The 24,802-nt window shown below is 42.8% G+C and overlaps 1 protein-coding gene across 17 annotated transcripts in view; it reads left to right on the top strand.

Moving 5' to 3' along the window:
- Positions 1 to 24,802, top strand: part of TRIT1 (tRNA isopentenyltransferase 1) — a 45,402-nt gene that overhangs the window by 2,047 nt on the left and 18,553 nt on the right. For 9 of the 17 annotated variants that reach the window (NR_132406.1, NR_132405.1, NR_132403.1 and 6 more), the window contains exon 2: positions 24,048 to 24,188. The exons of the other annotated variants lie outside the window; for them this stretch is intronic. Coding sequence is in view for 2 of the 9 variants with exons in the window: in NM_017646.6 (NP_060116.2) it covers positions 24,048 to 24,188 (141 nt within the window). In the remaining 7 variants the exon portion in view is untranslated. The remainder of the gene's footprint in view (positions 1 to 24,047; positions 24,189 to 24,802) is intronic. 17 annotated transcript variants of the gene reach the window in all.

Raw genomic sequence — 24,802 nt, 5'->3', positions numbered from 1 at the left:
AATGTGAGATGAGCAACATGATGAAGGCAGTGTGTAAGGAACATTCATTTGTGAGCAGTACGTATGGTACTTGGATAAAAAATATCCAAGAATGGTATAATAGTAGATCTGTGGTCTGATACCTCAGAGACTTAAGTAATAAGAGTTTCAGTAAGATGGAGTTACACTGATGACACCTAAGGTCCATGCCAATATTTATGTTCTATCATTTCTTTCTTCTTTTTTTTTTTTTTTTTTGGAGACAGAGTTTCGCTCTTGTTGCCCAGGCTGGAGTGCAGTGGCGCGATCTTGGCTCACTGCAACCTCTGCCTCCTGGGTTCAAGGATTCTCCTGCCTCAGCCTCCCAAGTAGCTGGGATTAGGGTGAGGGACAGGCACCTGTCCCACACCCAGCTAAGTTTTGTATTTTTAGTAGAGACGGAGTTTCGCCATGTTGGCCAGACTGGTCTCGAACTCCTGACCTCAGGTGATCCACCCGCTCCAGCCTCCCAAAGTGCTAGGATTACAGGTGTGAGGCACTGCACCCAGCCTTACATCTGTTTTTAAGTAGGTTACTGGGTTCTGGCAGTGAGGGTTGGATATAGCTCTATAGTAGCTATTATGTCTCGTTACTCATAGCTGTGTACCAAAGAAATGTTTCTATCTTTTTTCTTTTCTTTTTTTTTTTGAAACGGAGTCTTGCTCTGTCGCCCAGGCTGGAGTGCAGTGGCGCAATCTCTGCTCACTGCCCCCTCTGCCTCCCAGGTTCAAGCAATTCTCCTGCCTCAGCCTCCCGAGTAGCTGGAATTACAGACGCCCGCCACCATGCTCGGCTAATTTTTGTATTCTTAGTAGAGATAGGGTTTCATCATGTTGGCCAGGCTAGTCTCAAACTCTTGACCTCATGATCCGCCCGCCTTGGCCTCCCAAAGTGCTGGGATTCCAGGCATGAGCCACTGCGCCTGGCCCAACTTGTGTTTTCAACCAGTGAAAGGAGATGCTGCTTTTCAGTGACTTGAGGTTGACTCACTAGTATTTGGTAAACATGTAAACAAAATGATATTGTTGATGTTGAATCACCAGCTACTTGAAATAACATTTTCAATTTCAAGTAACTCCACAGGCAAAGCAATAATAAATATCAACAACTCAAATTTTCAAAGCATTGTTTACCAAATGTTTACAGTTTCTTCTTTTTTTTTTTTTTTTTTTTTTTTTATTTGAGGTCTTGCTCTGTTGCCCCGGCTGGAATGCAGTGGTGTGATCATAGCTCACTGCTATAACTTTGTTTTTGTTGTTGTTGTTGTTGTTTTGAGACGGAGTATTGCTCTGTCACTAGGCTGGAGTACAGTGGCACTGTCTCAGCTCACTGCAACCTCCGCCTCCAGGATTCCAGTGATTGTCCTGCCTCAGCCTCCCGAGCAGCTAGGACTACAGGCACATGCCACCAGGCCCAGCTAATTTTTGTATTTTTAGTAGAGACAGGGTTTCACCATGTTGGCCACGATGGTCTTGATCTCTTGACCTCGTGATCCGCCCACCTCAACCTCCCAAAATGCTGGGATTACAGGTGTGAGCCACCATGCCTGACCTTTTTTTTTTTTTTTTTTTTTTGAGATGGAGTTTCGCTATTGTGGCCCAGGCTGGAGTGCAATGACACCATCTTGGCTCACTGCAACCTCCACTTCCCAGGTTAAGTGATTCTCCTGCCTCAGCCTCCCTAGTAGCTGGGACTACAGGCATGTACCACTGCACCTGGCTAATTTTGTATTATTAGTAGAGTCGGGGTTTCACCATGTTGGCCAGGCTGGTCTGGAATTCCTGACCTCAGGTGATCCGCCTGCCTTGGCCTCCCAAAATGCTGGAATTACAGGTGTGAGACACTGCGCCTGGCACTGCTGTAACTTTGAACTCCTGAGTTCAAGCAGTCCTCCTGTCTCAAGTAGCTGGGACTATAGGCATGGAACACTGTGCTGGTGATAAATATATATATATATATATTTAAAATCCTCACAATAGTCTCATAAAATGGATATTATCACTTCACAGTTAAGAAAATAGGCCTAAGGTCTTAGAATAAGTAGCAGACCTGGAGTCTGAACATGAAAGTGTCTGCTTTCCATCCCCAGTGGCATATCTGCTACACAAAGCCATTTCCTTTAAGATGACCAGGGGCTGTGGGGTTCAATCAGTAGGGAGTTTTTTGTTTGTTTGTTTGTTTGTTTGTTTTAAGATGGAGTCTCGCTCTGTCACCCAGGCTCATGATCTTGGCTCACTGCAACCTCTGCCTCCCATGTTCAAGCGATTCTCCTGCCTCAGCCTCCCGAGTAGCTGGGACTATAAGCGTGTGCCACCACGCCTGGCTAATTTTTTGTATTTTTAATAGAGACGGGGTTTCACTGTGTTAGCTAGGATGGTCTCGATCTCTTGACCTCGGGATCCGCCAGCCTCGGCCTCCCAAAATGCTGAGATTACAGGCATGAGCCACTGCGCCAGGCCAGGAGTTTTTAACTTGTATGCCAGTTATCCTTCTTAGGAGTGTGCAACATTTTGATCAGGAAAAAGATGTATTTTAGGATTCATATTGTAAATCACAGTGTTAATTCATAGTGATATCTGTCAAGTGGAGTGTTGAGCTGACTGGAAGCCACCTGATGTACTTTGGGGATAAAATTTGCTGCAGCTAAGAGATATTAATAGAATCTAATGTCAAGTTCGTATCAAAGACAGATAGTGTTTATTGGAACAAAGGGTAAACTTGGACTTGTGGAGAGCCTAGACAGAACAGTAAACTTCTTTGTTGTAACACACCAAAGGGTGACCAAATAGAAAGTGTGATCATAGAAAGTTTTTTCAAGTTTCTAAATTGGGTTTTTTAAAACCAATATTTGCATTTTAATAATTCCTTTTGGTGTGCTGCTGAAAATTTTCTATTCAGAAGTGTACCAGTAACTCAGAAACTATTGTACAACACTATCTTAAATGTTAAATTGTCTCGTACTTCATACTGCTTTTGTCATCCCTTTGTCCTGCTTTAAAATGTAGGGTCATCCAAGGCAACACCTACCCAAGGTCAACCCTACAGCACCTACAGGGCAGTTCCTATCCAGAGAAAGTATTTGTTTTTGTAAACATTGAATAAGTACTTTAAGCTTTGAGGTAAAACTACAATGGGGTTGTTAAAGGTATTGTGTCTATGGTGATCATTTCTTCATGTAGCCTGATATGCAGTGACTTGCTTCTGTAGCCATCTAGCATCTGAAGGTACTGCCTGTCCTCTTTCTTCCCAGTGTTCTTTTTTCTTTTTCTTTTTTTTTCTATGACACAGCCCCAGGAGGTCCTGAAAACACATGCCCTTCCATGATTCTTATGCAAGGTAGTTGTGGATTGGGAAGTCAGAACTACTTTCTGAGGGGATTACCTTCTTTGGGATTTCTCTTGGGTTTTGCTGAGGATTTCTACATGGCCATTCTGACAGAAGTGAGAAACAACATTTGTGCTTTATTTTCTGAGTCTTCTGAATGCTGGTTGTTTCACAAATTATAGAAATAAAAATATTCTCATTCAGTAGTAAGAGTCTGAATTCAAGGAGGGACAGGTAATACAATCCCTGTTTTCCAGGATGGAAAAACTGGAGCTACAGAAGATTAAAGAGCTGTCTAGAGATCACACTGCAAGACACTGGGAATTGGATCTGGGTCTTCTAACTCATTTGTAGAGTCTGATGTATTTCAGGAAGATGATACCGAAGGTCTTCTTTTCAGTCTGAGTCTTTTTCTTGGCTTGTAAATTCAAGGTACAGTGCCGGGCCTTCAGTGACTGGATGAAACATTGTACTGAGAAAATTGAAGGCCCTTGCCAAACATGTACAATGATGGCCTGGAAATACAAACTACCAACTATATGCTAAGAGAAAAGAAACAAAGTGTTCTGTTCGGGTTTATAGAGAGGAAGTGTCTCTAATGCCTCAGTTTTTCAAGTCCTGTGGAGAAGCAGTAGCCGTACATAGGAGCACAGTTCCTTTTGTGTTTGTTTAAACCTACAAGAGGAGAAACAAATGATTTTTGGCAGTCTGACTAGTAAGCAAGCAGAATATGTGTCATCTCGTCATCCAATAGATGTGGAGCTCTTTGTTCTTTTTTTTTTTTTTTTTTTTTTAATAGAAGCACCATGTTGCCCAGGCTGATCTTGAACACTCTTGGCCCCAAGTGATCCTCCTGCATTGGCCTCCCAAAGTGCTAGGATTACAGGCATGAGCTACCCCACCTGGCCTCTGTATTCTTTTTGTTTGCTTTGGGACATACTGTAGGAGCAGTGTTTGTACCAAAAGACTGTCTGATCAAGGGAGATATGGGATGCTTGGGGGAGGGATATGAAAGGAGAGATGGGATGGTGGATCACAGTGGCTTAATAAAATGTGAAATAAAAGGCTTGAAGACCTGTTTTTTTTTTTTTTTTTTTTTTTTTGAAGACCCATTAACCAGGAGAAAAGGGGTCTATCTGGAAGGTATTTGCCACAACTGACAAAGGCAGTCCTTTTTTTTTTGTTTTTTTTTTTTGAGATGGAGTCTTGCTGTGTCACCCAGGCTGGAGTGCAGTGACTCCATCTCGGCCCACTGCAACCTAAGCCTCCCAAGTTCTAGCCATTCTCCTGCCTCAGCCTCCTGAGTAGCTGGGACTACAGGCGCCCGCCACCACGCCTGGCTAATTTTTTGTATTTTTAGTAGAGACAGGGTTTCACCGTGTTAGCCAGGATGGTCTCAATCTCCTGACCTCAGGTGATCCGCCAGCCTCGGCCTCTCAAAGTGCTGTGATTACAAGCGTGAGCCACTGCACCCAGCCAAAGGCAGTCTTTTAGAAGGACTGAGACTTACAAGAGGCTAAAAAGGAAATCTCAAAATTTTCGACTCATCATTCATATATATATATAGATAGATAGATAGATAGATAGATAGATACACATATAAATAATGAGTTTCTAGGTCCCTTGGTTCACCTCCATTGTAAGTGAATTTAGTTTTCTTTTGGCTGCAGTATTAAGCTGTGTATGTTGTACATATGTGGTCATGTTTTTGCACCTACAGGGAGAACTTTGGAGTCAAATCTGTGTTATATAAGGAAGGAGAAGTGACTACTGGCCAAACAGGAAACCATAGGAGAGCACAGATGAGGCTTGCAGATTCAGATTCATGAGGATGAGTGCTACCCTGATGTTTCAGTGCCTGAGGCAGGGTGTTGAAGCAGCTCCACTTCAAAAAGATATATTTGAGGAGTAAAAGTTACTTGGGGTATATAGGAATTCACATATGTGCTCCATTATGATTTAATGGAATTGGTTTTGTTTTTCTGTGTAGTTTTGGATTCCTCAGAAACTTGAATCAGACCAGGACCCTGTTGGCCTCTTGATCCCTTTGGGGCTCTGCTTGTGAGTAGCAGCCTCCCTGTACCTCCCTCATTGTGGCAGTCAGAGTTCAAGCCCTCATTACAGGAATGATCATAATAATTATACTACTGAAGATAATAGCAAGAATAATATATATGTCAGGCAGTTCTAAAAGTTTGACAAATATTATCTAATATCCTTACCGTAGCCTTTTGCCGTGGGTGCTGTTATTGTCTCCTCCCTACCAAAAATTACTTTATTAAATCCTCATCTCCATGCTGTTTTATACTTTTTCCTCTAACTCTTATTTATTTATTCATTCATCCTCCATCCCATTCTTTTCCTCTGTACCACTGTGTACATTTTATCAAGCAGAAAAGTGGGAAGAATAATATTACTGACAAAAGAACAGTATGGGCAAAGTTAAGAAAATGCATGGTATGTTTTCAAGGAATGACCAGCAACTATCTGGCATAGAGGGTACTTGAGGGACAGTGGTAGGAGGTAAAACTAAAAATATAGACCCTGGGAACAAATTTTTGAGGCCCTCAAAAGTCATGCCATGAGGTTTGAGGTTTTAAAGAGGGAAGTGGTAGTAAGTCTATTTTTTTTTTTCAAGACAGAGTCTCGCTCTGTCACCCAGGCTGGAGTGCAGTGGCGCAATCTCAGCTCACTGCAACCTCCACCTCCCGGGTTCAAGCAAGTCTCCTGCCTTAGCCTCCTGAGTAGCTGGGATTACAGACGCATGCCACCACGCCTGGCTAATTTTTGTATTTTTGGTAGAGACAGGGTTTCACCATGTTGGTCAGGCTGGTCTCGAACTCCTGACCTCGTGATCTGCCCACCTCGGGCTCCCAAAGGGTTGGAATTACAGGCGTGAGCCACTGCACCTGGCCTGTAAATCTATTTTATGAAGTAACTGGGTGGAGAGTGGGTTAGAGAAGGAAAAACAGTTTAGGATTCTGTTACATTAGTCTGGGTGAGAGAGGCTGGAGTTGGGCTTTGGCTGGAGAGAATAGGTAACCATTTTGATATTTTGTAAACAGAACCAACAGGATTTTGGTTATTGAATTGGAAGCACTATGAAAAAAATGAGAACAAAGCATTTTTGTGTTCAGAAAAATGAGACATGCGGGGGCCGGGCACAGTGGCTCACGCCTATAATTCCAGCACTTTGGGAGGCTGAGGCGGGCAGATCACCTGAGGTCAGGAGCTCGAGACCAGCCTGACCAACATGGAGAAACCCTATCTCCACTAAAAATACAAAAAAATTAGTCAAGCATGGTGGTGCATGCCTGTAATCTCAGCTACTCAGGAGACTAAGGCAGGAGAATCACTTGAACCCAGGAGGCGGAGGTTGCAGTGAGCCGAGATCACGCCATTGCACTCCAGCCTGGGCAACAAGAGCGAAACTCCATCTCAAAAAAAAAAAGAAAAGAAAAATGAGACATGCTTATTAAAAAAATCCAATAATACTGAAAAGTACAGAGACAATTTAACCATAGTCTTAGCATCCTGGAGTAATGATTTTGGTTCACATCCTTCCAGACATTTGTATATATATTTAAGCACATGTGTCATGTGTGTATATGTTATTACATAAATTGACTCAGAGGTTAGATACTATTCTATTTTCTTTTAACACTATGTTATGGATATCTTTATATGTTAATGTATATAGCTATATCAGTAGTCTCAACTTGGGGTGATTTGGCCTCCTAGGGGACGTTTGGCAATCCCTGGAGACATTTTTGGTTCTAATAACTGGGGAGGTGGGTTCCTGGCATCTAATGGGTAGAGGCCAGAGACATTGCTAACATTCTAGTAGGCACAGGACAACTTCCCATAACAGAATTATTTGGCCCCAAATATTAATTGTACTAAAGTTAAGAAACTGTCCTATATTATTGTTTTTATAATTTTTTATTGATTGATTGATTGAGACACGGTCTTACTGTGTTACCCAGGCTGGTTTCAAACTCCTGGGCTCAAGCAGTCGTCCCACTTCACCTTCCAAGTAGCTGAGATTACAGGTTTAATTTTGATTTTGAAATAGTTGTAGATTTTTATTTTTATTTTTATTTTTTTGAGACAGAGTTTCGCTCTTGTTGCCCAGGCTGGAGTGCAATGGTGTGATCTCGGCTCACTGCAGCCTCCATCCCCCGGGTTCAAGCAATTCTCCTGCCCCAGCCTCCTGGGACTACAGGCATACGCCACCATAACCAGCTAATTTTGTATTTTTAGTAGAGATGGGGTTTCTCCATGTGGGTCAGGCTGGTCTCGAACTCCCGACCTCAGGTGATCCATCCGTCTCTGCCTCCCAAAGTGCTGGGATTACAGGTGTGAGACACTGTGCCTGGCCCGAAATAGTTGTAGATTTACACAAGAGTTTCAAAGATAGTACCAAGAGTTCCTGTATACCCTTCATCTACCTTGTCCTAATATTAATATCTTACATCATCATGGTACATTTATTAAAACTAAGAAATTGATATAGGTACAATACTATTAACTAAATTATAGTCTTGGATTTCACCAGTTTTTTCACTTATGTCCCTTTTCCATTTCAGGATTCAATTTAGGATACTATACTGCAGTTAGTCATCATGTATCTTTAGTGTCCTCCAATCTTTGACAGTTTTCAGTCTTTCCTTGTCTTTTACGACCTTGATACTTTTGAAGGGTACTGGTCAGCTCTTTTGTAGATGTCTCTCCATTTGGGTTTTGGTTTCTCATGATTAGACTTGGCATTATGGATTTTGGGAAAGTATACCACAGAAGTGAAGTACCCTTCTCATTGGATCATATCAAAGTATGATATCAACATAGTATTAGCATGGCTTATTACTGGTGATGGTAACTTTGATCATTTGGTTGAGATTGTATACACGTTTCTCCACTGAAAAAGTCACGATTTTTCTCTTTTTGTGTTATTTTTCTTTTCCATTTCCATAAAATGACAGTACCTAGTCTTATTTGTTGGAAATCATTTGCCAAGTCTGGCCCACACTGAATAGAAGGAGAATTAAGCTTCATTTCCAGGATGAAAGCTTATCAAATAATTTGCGGACATATGTTAAAAGCACCACAGTAATTAATAAATATTTTAGGGGAGATACCCTCAGGCTATGCAGATGTCCTATTTCTCCTTAAAGTTTCACCCTCTGATTTTAGCATTCATCAGAGTCTTTCTTTTCTTTCTTTCTTTTTGTTTTCTTCCTTTCTTCCTTTTCCTTCCTTTTCCTTCCCCTCCCTCACTTCTTCCCTTCTTCCCTCCCTCCCTCCCTCCCTTCCTTCCTTTCTCTCTCTTTCTCTCTCTCTCTGTGTGTGTGTGTGTGTGTGTGTGTGTGTTTAGTACTTCCTGTCTGGTATTACAAGATGCTTCTAGTCCCTTTCAGTGGAAAGAGCTAGGAAATGTATGTATGTATATTAATCTATATATACACACATTTATATTTATTTCTCTATCTGTATGTATATTAAAATAAGCATGGGTTTATACTGGTATCTCTGACTAATCCAGCACCACAAGATTCATTCTAGTCTTCCCCCCTTGCTTATTTGTGACTTCTTTCTCAGAGTAAGAAATTTAGCTCTCATTCCCTATAGTATATTTACTTATTTGTGTAACCTGTAGTTTCAGTGATTACTCCTGTGAGAAACAGATTTACCAACTAGAGTACAATGTTTGCCTACAGTTTGTTTGTTTGTTTTTATCCTTACAGTATCGAGTAGTAACATTGTTTTATGAAGTTACTTAGATCAGCTCCTTTTGTTTTCCTCTCTGAGGTTATATCAGACGTTTGTAATGCAGTTAGATTTCATTTGTTACAGTCTGTAGTCTATCCTGGGTTCCCAGATATTCTGGTTATTTTAAAAAATTTGCATACAGTGGCCAGCTGCAGTGGTTCACACCTCTAATCCAAGCACTTTGGGATGCCAAGGAGGGAAGATTGCTTGAGCCTAGAAGTTTGAGATCAGCTTGGGTAACATAGTGAGAGCCCATCTCTACAAAAAAAAAAAAAAAAAAAAAAATTAGTCAGGCCTGGTAGCACATACCTGTAGTCCCAATTTCTCCTGGCTCAAGCAGGAGGATGGCTTGAGCCAGGGAGGTCAAGGCTGCAGTGAGTCATGATGGTGCCACTGCACTCTAGCCTGGACAACAAAGCAAGACTCTGTCCCAAAAAAACATTTTTAAAAATTTTTTGCATACATATAGTAAAGTGTACTCTTTATGATGTTTAGTTCTATGGGTTTTGACAGATGCATAGAGTCAGATATATACCCCACAGTACCATACTGAACAGTTCTATCACCCTAAAAAATCCCTTATAGTGGCCCCTTTGTAGTCAACCCCTCTATCTCCTTCAATCTCTGGCAACAACTTACCTGTTTTCCATCCCTATTGTTTTGCCTTTTCCAGAATGTCTTAAAATGTAATCATACAATATGTAGCCTTTGAGGTTTGGCTTTTTTCACTTAGCAAAATACATTTTTTTAAAAGGTAGATTGATTGATTGATTGGAGACAGGGTCTCATTCTGTTGCCCAGGGTGGGGTGCAGTGGCGCCATCTCGGCTCACTGCAGCCTCAACTTCCTGGGCTCAAGCAATCCTCCTACCTCAGCACCCCAAGTAGCTGGGACTATAGGCCTGTGCCACCACACCTGGCTCATTTTTGTATTTTTTGTAGAGACGGTTTCACCACGTTGCCCAGGCTGGTCTGGAACTCCTGAGCTCAAGCAATCCACCTGCCTCAGGCTCCGATTATAGGCGTGAGCCACTGCACCTGGCCAGCAAAATACGTTTAAAATTCTTCCATGTTGTTGCATGCGTCCAATGCTCTTTATTGCTGAGTAGTATTCCACTGTTTGGATGTACCATAGTTTGTCTAGTCACCTTTTTTTTTTATGAGACGGAGTTTCTCCCTTGTTGCCCAGGCTGGGGTGCAGTGGTGCAATCTTGGCTTACTGCAACCTCCGCCTCCCGGGTTCAAATGATTCTCCTGCCTCAGCCTCCCGAATAGCTGAGATTACAGGCATGTGCGACCACGCCCAGCTAATTTTGTATTTTTAGTAGAGACATAGTTTCTCCATATTGGTCAGGCTGGTCTTGAACTCCTGATCTCAGGTGATCCGCCCTCCTCAGCCTCCTAAAGTGCTGGGATTACAGGCGTGAGCTACCGCGCCTGGTGTCTATTCACCTATTAAAGGACATCTGGGTTTCTGGTTTTTGGTGATTATAAAGAAAGCTATTGTAAACATTCATGTACAGGTTTTAGTGTGAAATTTCATTTGAGTAAATACCTAAGAGTGGGATTGCTAGGCTGTTTGGTAACTTTATGGTTTAACTTTACAGGAGACTACCAAACTGTTTTCTAAAATGACTGTACCATTTTGTATTTCTCCCAGTAGTGAATGAGAATTCGTGTTCTTCTGTATCTCTATATTATTTCCAGCATTTGGTATTGTCAGGCTTTTTTTTTTTTCTTTTAATTTCCGCAGTTCTATGTACTGGTATCTCATTGTCGTTAATTTACATTTCCCTAAAGACCAATGATGTTGAGCTTCTTTTTTTTTTTTTTTTTTTTTTAGTATTTATTGATCATTCTTGGGTGTTGCTCGCAGAGGGGGATTTGGCAGGGTCATAGGACAATAGTGGAGGGAAGGTCAGCAGATAAACATGTGAACAAGGGTCTCTGGTTTTCCTAGGCAGAGGACCCTGCGGCCTTCCGCAGTGTTTGTGTCCCTGGGTACTTGAGATTAGGGAGTGGTGATGACTCTTTACGAGCATGCTGCCTTCAAGCATCTGTTTAACAAAGCACATCTTGCACCGCCCTTAATCCATTTAACCCTGAGTGGACACAGCACATGTTTCAGAGAGCACGGGGTTGGGGGTAAGGCCATAGATTAACAGCATCCCAAGGCAGAAGAATTTTTCTTAGTACAGAACAAAATGGAGTCTCCCATGTCTACTTCTTTCTACACAGACACAGCAACAATCTGATTTCTCTTTCCTTTCCCCACACTTTCCCCCCTTCCACTTGACAAAACCGCCATCGTCATCATGGCCCGTTCTCAATGAGCTGCTGGGTACACCTCCCAGACGGGGTGGCGGCCGGAGAGAGGGGCCCCCCACCTCCCAGACGGGGCAGCCAGGCAGAGGCGCCCCCCGCCTCCCGGACGGGGCGGCTGGCCGGGCAGAGGCTGTCCCCCACCTCCTGGAGGGGGCAGCTGCCTGGCAGAGACGCTCCTCACTTCCCAGACGGGGCGGCTGCCGGGCGGAGGGGCTCCTCACTTCTCAGACGGGGCGGCCGGGCAGAGACGCTCCTCACCTCCCAGATGGGGTGGCGGTCGGGCAGAGACACTCCTCAGTTCCCAGATGGGGTCGTGGCTGGGCAGAGGCGCTCCTCACATCTCAGACGGTGGGCGGCGGGGCAGAGACGCTCCTCACTTCCTAGATGGGATGGCGGCCGGGAAGAGGCGCTCCTCACTTCCCAGACTGGGCGGCCGGGCAGAGGGGCTCCTCACATCCCAGACGATGGGTGGCCAGGCAGAGACACTCCTCGCTTCCCAGACGGGGTGGCGGCCGGGCAGAGGCTGCAATCTCGGCACTTTGGGAGGCCAAGGCAGGCGGCTGGGAGGTGGAGGTTGTAGCGAGCCAAGATCACAACACTGCACTCCAGCCTGTGCAACATTGAGCACTGAGTGAGCAAGACTCCGTCTGCAATCCCGGCACCTCGGGAGGCCGAGGCTAGCAGATCACTCGCGGTTAGGAGCTGGAGACCAGCCCGGCCAACACGGCGAAACCCTGTCTCCACCAAAAAAATATGAAAACCAGTCAGGCGTGGCGGCGTGCGCCTGCAATCCCAGGCACTCGGCAGGCTGAAGCAGGAGAATCAGGCAGGGAGGTTGCAGTGAGCCGAGATGGCGGCACTACAGTCCAGCCTCCAGTCTGCATCAGAGGGAGACCCTGGAGAGAGAGGGAGAGGGAGACCATGGGGAGAGGGAGGGGGAGGGGGAGAGGGAGAGGGAGAGCTTTTTTTCAGACAGAGTTTTGCTCTTGTTGCCCAGGCTGAAGTGCAGTGGCACGATCTCGGCTCACTGCAACCTCTGCCTCATCGGTTCAAGCGATTCTCCTGCCTCAGCCTCCCGACTAGCTGGGATTACACATGCCTGCCACCACGCCCAGCTAATTTTTATATTTTTAGTGGAGACGGGGTTTCACCACGTTGGCCAGGATGGTCTAGAACTCCTGACCTCAGGTGATCCACCCGCCTCGGCCTCCCAAAGTGCTGGGATTACAGGCGTGAGCCACCACGCCCAGCCAGTGTTGAGCTTCTTTTCATATCCTTATTTGCCATCTGTATATCCTTGGTGAAGTGTCTCTCAGATCTTTTGCCCACGGGAGTGGGGTTGTTTTCTTATTGATGAATTTTAAGAGTTTTTTTTTTTTTTTTTTGAGAGGAAGTTTTGCTTTTGTCGCCCAGGCTGGAGTGCAATGGCGCGATCTTGGCTCACTGCAACCTCCACCTCCCGGGTTCAAGTGATTCTCCTGCCTCAGCCTCCTGAGTAGCTGGGATTATAGGTGCTTGCCAGCACGCCTGGCTAATTTTTTGTATTTTTAGTAGAGATGAGGTTTCACCATGTTAGGCAGGCTGGTCTCGAAGTCCTGCCCTCAGATGATTCACCTGCCTCAGCCTCCCAAAGTACAGGGATTACAGGCGTGAGCCACTGTGCCTGGCCAAGAGTTCTTTATATATATCCTGGGTATAAATCCTTTATCAGATATGTTATTCGCAAATATTTTCTCCCAATCTGTGGCTTATTTTTTCATTCTCTTCACAGTATCTTTCACAGAGCAAAAGTTCTACATTTTTATAATGCCTAATTTAATTTATCTTTTTTTTTCTTTTATGGATCACGAGGTCAGGAGATCGAGACCATCCTGGCTAACACGGTGAAACCCCGTCTCTACTAAAAATACAAAAAAAAATAGCCAGGCATGGTGGCGGGCTTCTGTAGTCCCAGCTACTTGGGAGGCTGAGGCAGGAGAATGGCATGAACCCGGGAGGCGGAGCTTGCAGTGAGCCGAGATGGAGTCACTGCACTCCAGCCTGGGCGACAGAGCGAGACTCCATCTCGAAAAAAAAAAAAAGAATCTTGAAGGGGTTCAGTGTGTGGTAGCTGTCTTTTCCTCAGTTTCTGGAATTTAATTTCACCTCAGTAGGAATTCATTACTTGAAGCAAACAAATATACCAGAGTCAAATGGGGATAAAAATTCTAGTGAGTGGCAGCAGAAATAGCTTGGGTTATAGGCAGAGCAGCCTGGCATTAGTCCTGTCTCTGCTTCCAGCCAGTTATATGGCCAGGGGAGCCTGAGTATTCTCGAATATAAAATGTTGGGTGTTTGGACTGGATGCAGAGCTTCTCCAGTGTTTGTTTGCAGGTGGACTCCAAGCAGCCACTGCAGAAGCTCTGTGTCGCAGTTTCTCATGTTTTAACTTAAAAATATGTGCCAATTTTGCATTCTCTGCCCTAATGTTTGTTTAGATGTAAAAATGTTTCAATTTTTTTTTTCTGCTACCTAGTAAGATTGATACTTCAGAAGAATGTATCACATGTATGTTATACACATCTCAGTTTGAAAACTATGGCCTTGGCCAGGCGCAGTGGCTCACCCCTGTAATCCCAGCACTTTGGGAAGCCAAGGCGGGCGGATCACCTGAGGTTGGGAGTTCGAGACTAGCCTGACCAACATGGAGAAACCCCGTCTCTACTAAAAATACAAAATTAGCCAGGCATGGTGGTGGATGCCTATAATCCCAGCCACTCGGGAGGCTGAGGCAGGAGAATCACTTGAACCCAGGAGGTGGAGGTTGCGGTGAGCCGAGATTGTGCCACTGCACTTCAGCAAGGGCAACAAGAGCGAAACTCCATCTCAAAAAAACAAAAGAAGAAAACTATGGCCTTATATGATTCTGGTCCCTTTTCCCTTAAAGAGAAGAGCCGTAGGAAAGAATAAAAGCCATAATCTGCACTATAAATTCCAAACCATGAGTCTCATCACACTGACTCAACAGATCAGGCACAGATTCTCCTGCTTTTTTATTTTATTTTTTGAGACAGTGTCTCACTTCAGGCTGGAGTGCAGTGGTGCAATCATGGCTCACAGCAGCCCTGACCTCCTGGCTCAAGCAGTCCTCCCACCTCAGTCTCCTGAGCAGCTAGAACTATAGGCACGTGCCACCATGCCTGGCTGATTAAAACTGTTTTTTTGTTTTTGTTTTGTTTTTTTTGTAGACATGGGGTCTTTGTGTTGCCTAGGCTGGTTTCAAACTCCTGAGCTCAAGCGATCCTCCTATCTTGGCCTCCCAAGGTGTTGGGATTACAGGTGTGAGCCACTGTGCCTGGCCTTCTCCTGCTTTCTGAGCATCTTAATGTGTCCAGTTTATTCAGCATATCTACAGTTGAATTTCTGCCAGAGTTGAAAAGAGTAATTGCCTTGATGTTCCTGCAGCAAACTTATTAGTCCTAACCTACTGAAGTTATGTTTAAAAAAAGTTTTCTTTTAATTAAAAAAGTAAAGTGAGTCAAGAAATCAGCCTTTCCCGTACTCTTCAACATCTCTTCAGTTGAATTTGTCTAAAGGAAAATCAACTTCCCAGTGAGTGTCAACATCTTTAAGAAAATAATTTTTCCTTTCATCTACCTATGCTAAAACTATCTTTTCTCCCGAAGCTTGGACTATTAAAACTAGAAGAAATTAGCTGGGCGTGGTGACAGGTGCCTATAATCCCAGCTACTTGGGAGGCTCAGATAGGAGAATCGCTTGAACCTGGGAGGGGGAGGTTGCAGTGAGCCAAAATCATGCCACTGCACTCTAGCCTGGGAGACAGAGACTCTGTCTAAAAAAAAGAACTAGAAGAGATGTTAGATGTGAGAAACTTGAGGTTCCAGAAGAAAAACTTGACCTTCCTCCTTCCTTCCTTCCTTCCTTCCTTCCTTCCTTTCTTCTTTCCTTCCCTCCCTCCCTCTCTCCCTCTTCCCTTTCTTTTCTTTTTCTTTTCTTTTCTTTTCTTTCTTTTCTTTTCCTTCCCTTTCTTTCCTCCCTTTCTTTCTTTTCCTTTTCCTTCTTTCTTTCCTTTTCTTCTTTTCTTTCTTTTTCCTTTCATTCCTTCCCTCCCTTCCTTCCTTTCTTTTTCTTTTCTTTCCTTTATCACTCTCTTCTTTCCTTTATCACTCTCTTCTTTCCTTTCTTTCTTGTCTCGTTGTGCTGCCCAGGCTGGAGTGTAGTGGTGCAATTATGGCCCACTGCAGCTCACCCTCTTGGGCTCAAATGACCCTCCCATCTTAGCCTCCTGAGTAGTTGGGACTACAGGTGCACACCACCATGCCTGACTAATTTTCTTTTCTTTTTTTTTTTTTTTTTTTGTAGAGACAGAGTCTCACAATGTTGCCCAGCTGGTCTCAAACTTTGGGCTCCAGTGATCTGCCTGCCTCAGCCACCCACGGTGCTGGGATTACAGGCGTGAGCCACCATGCCTGATGAGAATCCTTACTGTTAACCACTTTTCTATATGCTATGTGCCTCTCAATGATGGAATGTCCACTAGACAGTTGAATATACAGGTCTGGCACCACAAAAAGAGAACTAGATTGTGGATATGGATTTTGGGAGTTATCAGCACAACAGTGGTTGTAGAAGCCATGGGTGTCACCCAGAGAAAGTTCATAATACAAAAAGGCAGATGGATGCCATAAAGACTGCCATTTCTCAATATTGTTTCCTGACAGATACTGCTAATAGATCAGTGGCTGGCCTCAGTAAAGTAGATGGAGGAAGGCCTAGTGGGATAGGAAGAAAAACCTGGAAAGAATGGTGCCCTTGAAGCCCCAAAGGGGAGTGATTATGAAGGGGAGAGAGCTCAATAGTATCAGATTGTTGCTTTTTCCATTACTTGCTTTGAGAGCTTAGTAGAAAAGTGTTATATTTGGCAGTCAGTGTTCATTAATGATCTCAGTAAGATATCCATAGGGCAGTGGAGGGCAGCAAGCAGTGATTATATTGAGCCATAATCCAAGGTTGTGGTTTTCAAGGCAGGTGTAATCCATTGAGGCAAGAAAGTGATTGAAGGACTTTAGGATCTAATTTGAAATGGGAAGGACATAAGTGAAAAGGTGGAAGATAACTTGCAGGGAAGGAACCAAACCAGGGGGCAGCTTTTCCTTTTGCTTGTAGACAGCTATGTTGGGACATCACAGCCAGCACTCAGAGCTCTGGGATCTGCCCACTGCCACGGACACTGCTGCTGATTAGCACACTCAGGGCCACCCTACAGCAAGGCAGCCCAAAAGGATGGAGCCTTAAAAGGATGGGATCTTTGGCTGTACACGTAAAAAACTGGGGGGAGTATCTGCAAGGTGAAATTTCTTTAGATCGGGGTTTCTCAATTTCAGGACTGTTGACATTTTGGGGCCGGATAATTTTTTTTTTTTTTTTTTTTTGAGACAGAGTCTCGCTCTGTCAGTGCAGTGGCGCAATCTTGGCTCACTGCAAGCTCCGCCTCCCGGGTTCACACCATTCTCCTGCCTCAGCCTCCCGAGTAGCTAGGACTACAGGCGCCTGCCACCACGCCCGGCTAATGTTTTGTATTTTTAGTAGAGATGGGGTTTCACTGTGTTAGCCAGGATGGTCTCGATCTCCTGACCTCGTGATCCACCTGCCTCAGCCTCCCAAAGTGCTGGGATTACAGGTATGAGCCACCGCGCCTGGCCTGGGGATGGATAATTCTTTGTGTTTGGGGCTGAAGGCTAGACCAGAGTGCATCATTGGATGTGTAGCAGCATCCTTGGCCTCTACCCTCTAAATGCTAGTAGCACCCCCAGCCCTGCAGTTGTGACAATCAAAAATGTTTCTGGCTGGGTGCAGTGGCTCATACCTGTAATCCCAGCACTCTGGGAGACCGAGGCTGGCAGATCACCTGAGGTCAGGAGTTCGAGACCAGCCTGGCCAACATAGCAAAACCCCGTCTCTACTACAAGCACTAGCCAGGCGTGGTGGCAGGTACCTATAATCCCAGCTACTTGGGAGGCTGAGGCAGGAGAATTGCTTGAACCTGGGAGGTGGAGGTTGCCGTGAGCTGAGATCACACCACTGCACCCCAGCCTGGACATTGCCAGATGTCTCCCAGTGAACAAAATCACTTGAATTGAGAACCATGGGTCTGGATTCTGCTGGTTTTCTTCTTCTAGTTCTCTGTTATGGATTTCTTTTTTTGTTTTTTGTTTTTTCCATATCTTTTGTTGTTGTTGTTGTTTATAGTTTTTTTTTCATATCTCTTTTTTTTTTTCTCTGTTGTAGATTTCTTTTACCTTCATTAGTTCCTCCAGGCATTTCAGCTCTGTTGATTTGGAGAGTTCAGGTTATTTCAGCGTTGTACCATTTTTACAAATTTTTTTTTTCAGTGTGGAAATAAACCATCAATAGAGGTGCAACAAAGTGGTATATTTTTCTATAATGCCCAATTTAATGCCTAGAACATTAAATGTTTAGTGGTTATACACTCTTGTATCATGTATCTTCTTTAATTACAGCTATTTGTGTCTAACTTGGACTCTGAGGACTAGGACTCTTTTTTTTTAAGAGACAGGGTCTTGCTCTGTTGCCCAGGCTGGAGTGCAGGGGCACCTTTTTAGCTCACTATAGCCTTGGACTCCTGGGCCTAAGCAGTCCTCCTGCCTCAGCCTCCCAAGTAGCCGGGAGGCACGTGCCACCACACCCAACTAATTTTTAAATTTTTGGTAGAGATGGAGTCTCACTATATTGGCCGGGCTGGTCTTGAACTCCTGGTCTCAAGTGATCCTCCTACTCAGCCTTCTAACGTGCTGGGATTATAGGTGTGAGCCACCATGCCCGTCCATGGGACTTTCTTAATCTTCTTTTCATAACTAACATGTTGCAGTATACCTAACACATAGTAGACGCTTAGTAAATGTTTGTAGAGATAAGTCAATTATGTTAGATAATTGATGAAGTGGATTAAACCTGGAATTTTTCAGAATATTTCAGTCATCAGGCCTTACAAAGAAGCCAGTTGTCCCTTAGTTGTCAAAATATGGTTTGTGCAGAGAAAAGCATTTCATTCCAAATCATTTCCATGCACACAGATCACAAGTATCCTTTGGGAGAAGGGGAAATGGAGCAGAGTGGCATGCTGTCTTTGAAAGATAACACAGATCCTTTTGGCTCTTCCCAGCATTCAGGCTGATTGTAGGTAGAGTGATGCTGAAACTGTAATTGAAGCTGAAAAATAGGGTAAGTGTAAGAGATTCAGCTACAAATCTCACATGTGAATGTTTTCTAGGCTGGTAATAAAATAATAAGCCTGATTGTGGCATTTAGAGCATGGATGTGACCTAAACCTCTGGACCAAATGTGATACTTACAAAATTGATTAATTTCTAAGTTTGTTTAGATATTTATGCCTGGTACAAATGTGAAAAATGTTGTGTTTTTGCTTCTTAACTGTGCAGTATGATTTTATTTGATAAATAAAGGATACCCATAAAAACACATAATTAATAACTGTACAGCTCAATACAATAATAAAAAGTTAAAATATCTGTGTAACCACAACTCAACTGAATTTCAATTCAAGAAACGGAATATCACAAGAAATAGAACATTACCAGCTCTTAATAATTTTGAAAATTTTATTTCATTGCTGCTATTCACTAGTTTCTTATTGTGCCTAAAAGCTATCATCCAAGTCTTTTTTTTTTTTTTTTTAAATTGTGATATAACATTGACCATTAACCATTTCGGTGGCCATTTTAGCCATTTCAGTATTTCAGTGGCATTAAGTACAATAGCATTGTTCTGCAACCATTACTACCTTCCATCTCAATAGGTTTTTATTTTCTTAAAATGAAACTCTGTACCAGTTAAACAATAAATCCCTATTTTCCCCTCTCCCCAGCTCCTCGTAACTAATATTCTACTTTGTGTCTCTATGAATTTGACTACTCTAGGTACTTCATATACATGAGATCGTACAGTGTTTGTCCTTTTGTGATTGGCTTATTTAACTTAGCATAGTATGTTCAAGGTTATCCATGTTGTAGGATGTGTGATAATTTCATGCCTTTCTTTTTTTCTTTTTCTTTTTTTTTTTTTTTTGAGACAGAGCCTTGCTCTCTTGCCCAGGCTGGAGCGCAGTGGTGCGATCTCAGCTCACTGCAACCTCTGCCTCCTAGGTTCAAGCAATTCTTCTGTCTCAGCCTCCTGAGTAGCTGGGATTACAGGTGCCTGCTACCACGCCTGGCTAATTTTTATATTTTTAGTAGAGATAGGGTTTCACCATATTGGTCAGGCTGGTCTCGAACTCCTGACCTCAGGTGATCCATCCACCTCAGTCTCCCAAAGTGCTGGGATTATAGGCACGACCCACCGCCCGGCCAACTTCCTGCCTTTCTTAAGGCTGAATAATACTCATTTGTATGCGTAGACCACATTTTGTTTGTCTGTTTATCTGTGGATGGATACTTGAATTACTTCATCTTTTGGCTATTGTGAATAATGCTGCTGTGAACATGGATGTGTAAATATCTGTTTAACACCCTGCTTTCAATTCTTTTGGGTATGTACCTGAAGTGGAATTGCTAAGTTGTATGTTAATTCTGTTTTATTTTTTGAGGAACTGCCATATTGTTTTTCTTCCAGTTTTTGTTGTTGTTGTTGTTTTTAAGTTCTAGAGATCGGGTCTCGTTATGTTGCCTAGGTTGATTTTGAACTCCTGGGTCTGCCTCAGTCTTCCAAAATGTTGGGATTACAGGCATGAGCCACCTTGCCCTTCCCGAAACTGCCATATTGTTTTCCGTAATAGCTGCATCATCTTACATGCCCCTCATCAATGCACAAGGGTTCCAGTTTCTCTACATCCTTGCCAACATTTGCTATTATCTGTTTCTTTTTTCTTTTTCTAATAGCCATTATAATGAGTGTGAAGTACATCCATGTCTTTTTTGAGACAGAGTCTTGCTCCGTCGCCCAGGCTAGAGTGCAGTGGCACCATCTCAGCTCACTGCAACTTCTGCCGTCCGGGTTCAAGCGATTCTCCTGCCTCAGCCCCTGAGTAGCTGAGATTACAGGCGTGCGCCACCACGCCTGGCTGATTTTTGTATTTTTAATAGAGACGGGGTTTCACCATGTTGGTCAGGCTGGTCTTGAACTCCTGATCTCATGATCTGCCTGCCTCGGCCTCCCAGAGTGCTGGAATTACAGATGTGAGCCACTGCACGCGGCTTTTTTAAAATAAACTTTTTGTCATGGAAATTTCCCAACATATAAAGAAAGAAGGGCAAATAATGAAATGAACTACCCATATATCCATCACCTAGAGTCGATAATTATGAACACTTGGCCAATCTTGTTTCACTTAGAGTTTGTCTCTCCTTTCCCTATTGTTGCAATGCAGGTCACAGTCATATACTTTCATTTATTGTACTTTAATGTACTGTGGTACAGGTTGAGTATCCATTATGCAAAATGCTTGGGACCAGAAGTGTTTTGGTTTCCTAGTTTTTTCTGATTTTGTAATATTTGCATTATATTTACCAATTGAGCATCCCAAATCTGAAAATCTAAAATCCAAAATACTCCAGTGAGCGTTTCCTCCGAGTTGTGTGTTTGGTGCTCAGAAGTTTTCAGTTTTAGATTTAGTTAACGACTATAAAACATACCCATAAAACCATATTATATGTAAATCAGATGTCTAGTCTGTATCACCCACATCTTTATGACCCATTTCTTTTAATCTGAATGTGTAAGAGGCAAAGAGTTAACAGACTACCCAAAGATGACAATTTATATTAGTAACCAAGATTTAGTACTTTTATGAGTTACAGTTTTTGTTAACTATGAGTAAGAGCTCTGCTTTCTTTAAACCATTAATACTCTTTTCTTCTTCCTGATATTTGGTGGCATTTGTATTATCTATCATAAGCAGTACCATAGGCCACTTCCTTTAGTAAATAAGGTGAGCTAGCTCTGGGTTACCTTCTGTTTGAATTATATTTATGTGTCCGTTTGTTTAAGCTCACCATTTTAAGGGCCTCTAGAAGATACACCTAAAGGCAGATTACAGGAAGAAATTTTATCTAGCCTTCTAGGGTTTCTGATAGAAGGTGCTGGTAGAGATATTTACATTTTGTCCTTGTTGGAGGTGTGGGTAATTGTACATTTGCAGCTATGCATTTGACACTGATTAACATTAATCTCAGTGTAAAAATTTAGAATCCTTTTTACTGTAACATACTTAACAGGATTTAGAAATCCTCTACTAGCAAAATCAAGTTGTTGCTATGTGAGCTCTTTAAAATGGGATCATTTGGAATTCTAAGCTACAGCAGAGCCAACCAAGGGCTGTGAGAAAAAGAGAGAGAGAGAGGAATAAACAGTTATTATTAACTCTTTTCCTCCCTTTAGTTTTCTTTTCTTTCTTTCTTTCTTTTTTTTTTTTGAGACAAAGTCTGGCTCTATTGCCCAGGCTGGAGTGCAGTGGTATGATCTCGGCTCGCTGCAGCCTCCGCCTTCCAGGCACAAGGATCCTCCCACCTCAGCCTCCCCAGTAGCGGAACTACAGGTGTGTGTCACCACACCTGGCTAATTTTTCATTTTTTATAGAGCCGCAGTTTAGCCATGTCTCCCAGGCTGGTCTTGAACTCATGAGCTCAAGTGATCCACCCACCTCAGCCTCCCAAAGTGCTAGGATTACAGGTGTGAGTCTCCGCACCTGGCCTCTTTCGTTTTTTTTTTTTTTTTTTTTTTTTTTTTTTTTTTTTGAGACGGAGTCGAGTCTCACTCTGTTGCCCAGGCTGGAACGCAATGGCGTGATCTTGGCTCACTGCAACCTCTGCCTCCTGGGTTCAAGCGATTCTCCTGCCTCAGCCTCCTGAGTATAGCTAGGATTATAGGCACACGCCACGACACCCAGCTAATTTTTTGTGTATTTTTAGTAGAGATGGGGTTTCATCATGTTGGTCAGGCTGGTCTCGAACTCCTGACATCGTGATCCGCCTGCCTTGGCCTTTCAAAGTGCTGGGATTACCGGCATGAACCACTGCGTCCGGCCTCCCCTTTAGTTTTCTTAATGTGCATAGAAGACACCAGTGTATAATAACCATATGACCTTGTATAACATTAGAAGGAAGTCTTGTTCAAGATACACAGAAAAGAATACTCTATGATTTATGATTCCATTAATTTTCAGGTATGAGAATGTGAGTCTGCTGTCAGGCACAAATTAAATGAGTTAAAAAGGCAGAGTTGATGCTTTCCTTATGGCTCTTATTTACATTATTTTTTATTTATATGCTGTTTTACTGTTTACCGATTTTATTTCATTGAAGATAGCTTATATCCTTGCTTGGTAAATGACCTCAGTCACTAAGAGCATAGAGCCTTCTGAGTATTAAACAGTAACACTAAAATTATTTCCCTTTCTCCTTTAGTTATTGTGATAGTAGTAGTGATAATGATAGCAATTAGGTAATAGTGACCCTCAATGTGGCCCTTAAAATGTGCCAGGCAAAAACTAAGTGCTTTTTAGTAGTAACTCATTTAATCCCCACAACAACCCTATGAGGTAGATATTATTATTTTCATTTTACTGATGAGAGATTGAGGCCCAGAGAGGTTAGTAACTGACTTCTTCAACTACGAATAACTAGTAAGTGGTAGAGCTAGGAAATGAGCTGAGGCAGCCTGGCGCCAGGGTCTTTCCTCCTAACCATTACACTGTACTGTACTTATTTGACACCCGTGTAAGTAAAGGGAAACGTGAGATAAAAATGCTTTTAACATCTTTGTGGGCTCTACGGAACTTATTATTTGTTCATTCAGTGCTCCCTGTAGAATCAGTGATTACAGAGAACATTTAATCTCAAAGTATTCATCCCTATTTTCAAACTGGTATTTTCAGATCTGTTCTTGGAGACCTTGCATTTAGAAAAAGTACACTTGAACTTTTTAGTCGAATTGGCAGATCAAGAGCTCACAGACAGGATATTGCCTTTGAGTATTTAGATTGTCCTTGCTGACCCCTGAAGCAGTAATTTTGATAGATCACAATGTTTCCACTAGAGTACAGCAGTATTAGGGGTTCTGACTTCAAAGTGTGTATGTGTATGTTTTATATGTATTTTTGTAGACTCCTTCTCCACAAATGGAACCAATCTTACACAAATTCTGAAAACCTTTTAGAGCTATTTAAATCCAAGAAATACCTAAGCATTTTGAAGTAGAACTATGAGCAATGAATGCAAATGTTACCTTTCTGGAGTCTTGTGATAAGTAAAACAACCTGCCCAATTTTCAGTGCTTTAAAGTTCTGGCCATGCAGAATTCGTTTTTACTAATTCTGGGCATGTATTTACATATCCTTCTTACCTTTAAATCTGAGCTAATAGCTACTATTTGATAAGAAAACCAATGCTGTATTTTCTTCTTTCTTTGTTTTGGGTTTCGTGGATCTGGCTGTGCTGTTTGTTAGAATACATCTACCCTGGTGCTTTGGGTCAGTGAAGTGTTTGGCAGGAGGGAGAAATAGATCAAAATTTCTATTCATTAAGTATGCATCTTTTATGGAGGTGGTTGACTTTCTCATGTTAATTTTCTTTCCCCTAGGTCTATGAAGGCCTAGACATCATCACCAACAAGGTTTCTGCCCAAGAGCAGAGAATCTGCCGGCACCACATGATCAGCTTTGTGGATCCTCTTGTGACCAATTACACAGTGGTGGACTTCAGAAATAGAGCAACTGCTCTGATATCCTTAGGAAAGGCAGCAGCTGGGTTTGGTGGGTGAAAGCAGCCCAAGCCAAGAGAGAAGTTTTCTTTCTAGTGGCAATTTCTTCTCAGAAGGGGCACCCAAGGCCTAAATACTGATGGATGCCATCCCCATCAGACTATGGACTGAAAGATACAGTGTCTTTGTCACCCAAATTCTTGTCCTTAGACTGTGGCATCATCATTCTCTGGGAACTTGTTAGAAATGCTGATTCTTGGGCCCCACTCCAGACCTACTGAATTAGAATCTGCATTATAACGGGAGTCCCCAGTGATTTATATACACATTAAAATTTGAGAAGCACTGTTTTAGTGATAAGAACACCAATTTAAGAATCAGAAAATTTGTGTTACAGTCCTAGAACTGCCTTTTTTACCATGTGAATTTTACTGGGTAAAGCATTTCCTTAACCCCACTGAGCTTCGGTTTTCTATCCTTTAAATGGAGATACGAAGTTAATCTATAAATATAATGGAGTTATAGTTAGAATTTCAAAGGGGTTGTTAGATGGGAGAGGACTGGAAAATATAGTTCTGGGTAAAACCAAGAAATTTTTGCAAAAAGAATAATATAAGGGGGATTGCCCTTATGTC

The sequence above is a fragment of the Homo sapiens genome, chromosome 1, assembly GCF_000001405.40.
Source record: "Homo sapiens chromosome 1, GRCh38.p14 Primary Assembly".
NCBI classification, from domain to species: Eukaryota; Metazoa; Chordata; class Mammalia; order Primates; family Hominidae; genus Homo; species Homo sapiens.
Note: the sequence above shows the minus strand (reverse complement) of the source record. Positions and strands in the feature narration are given on the sequence as shown.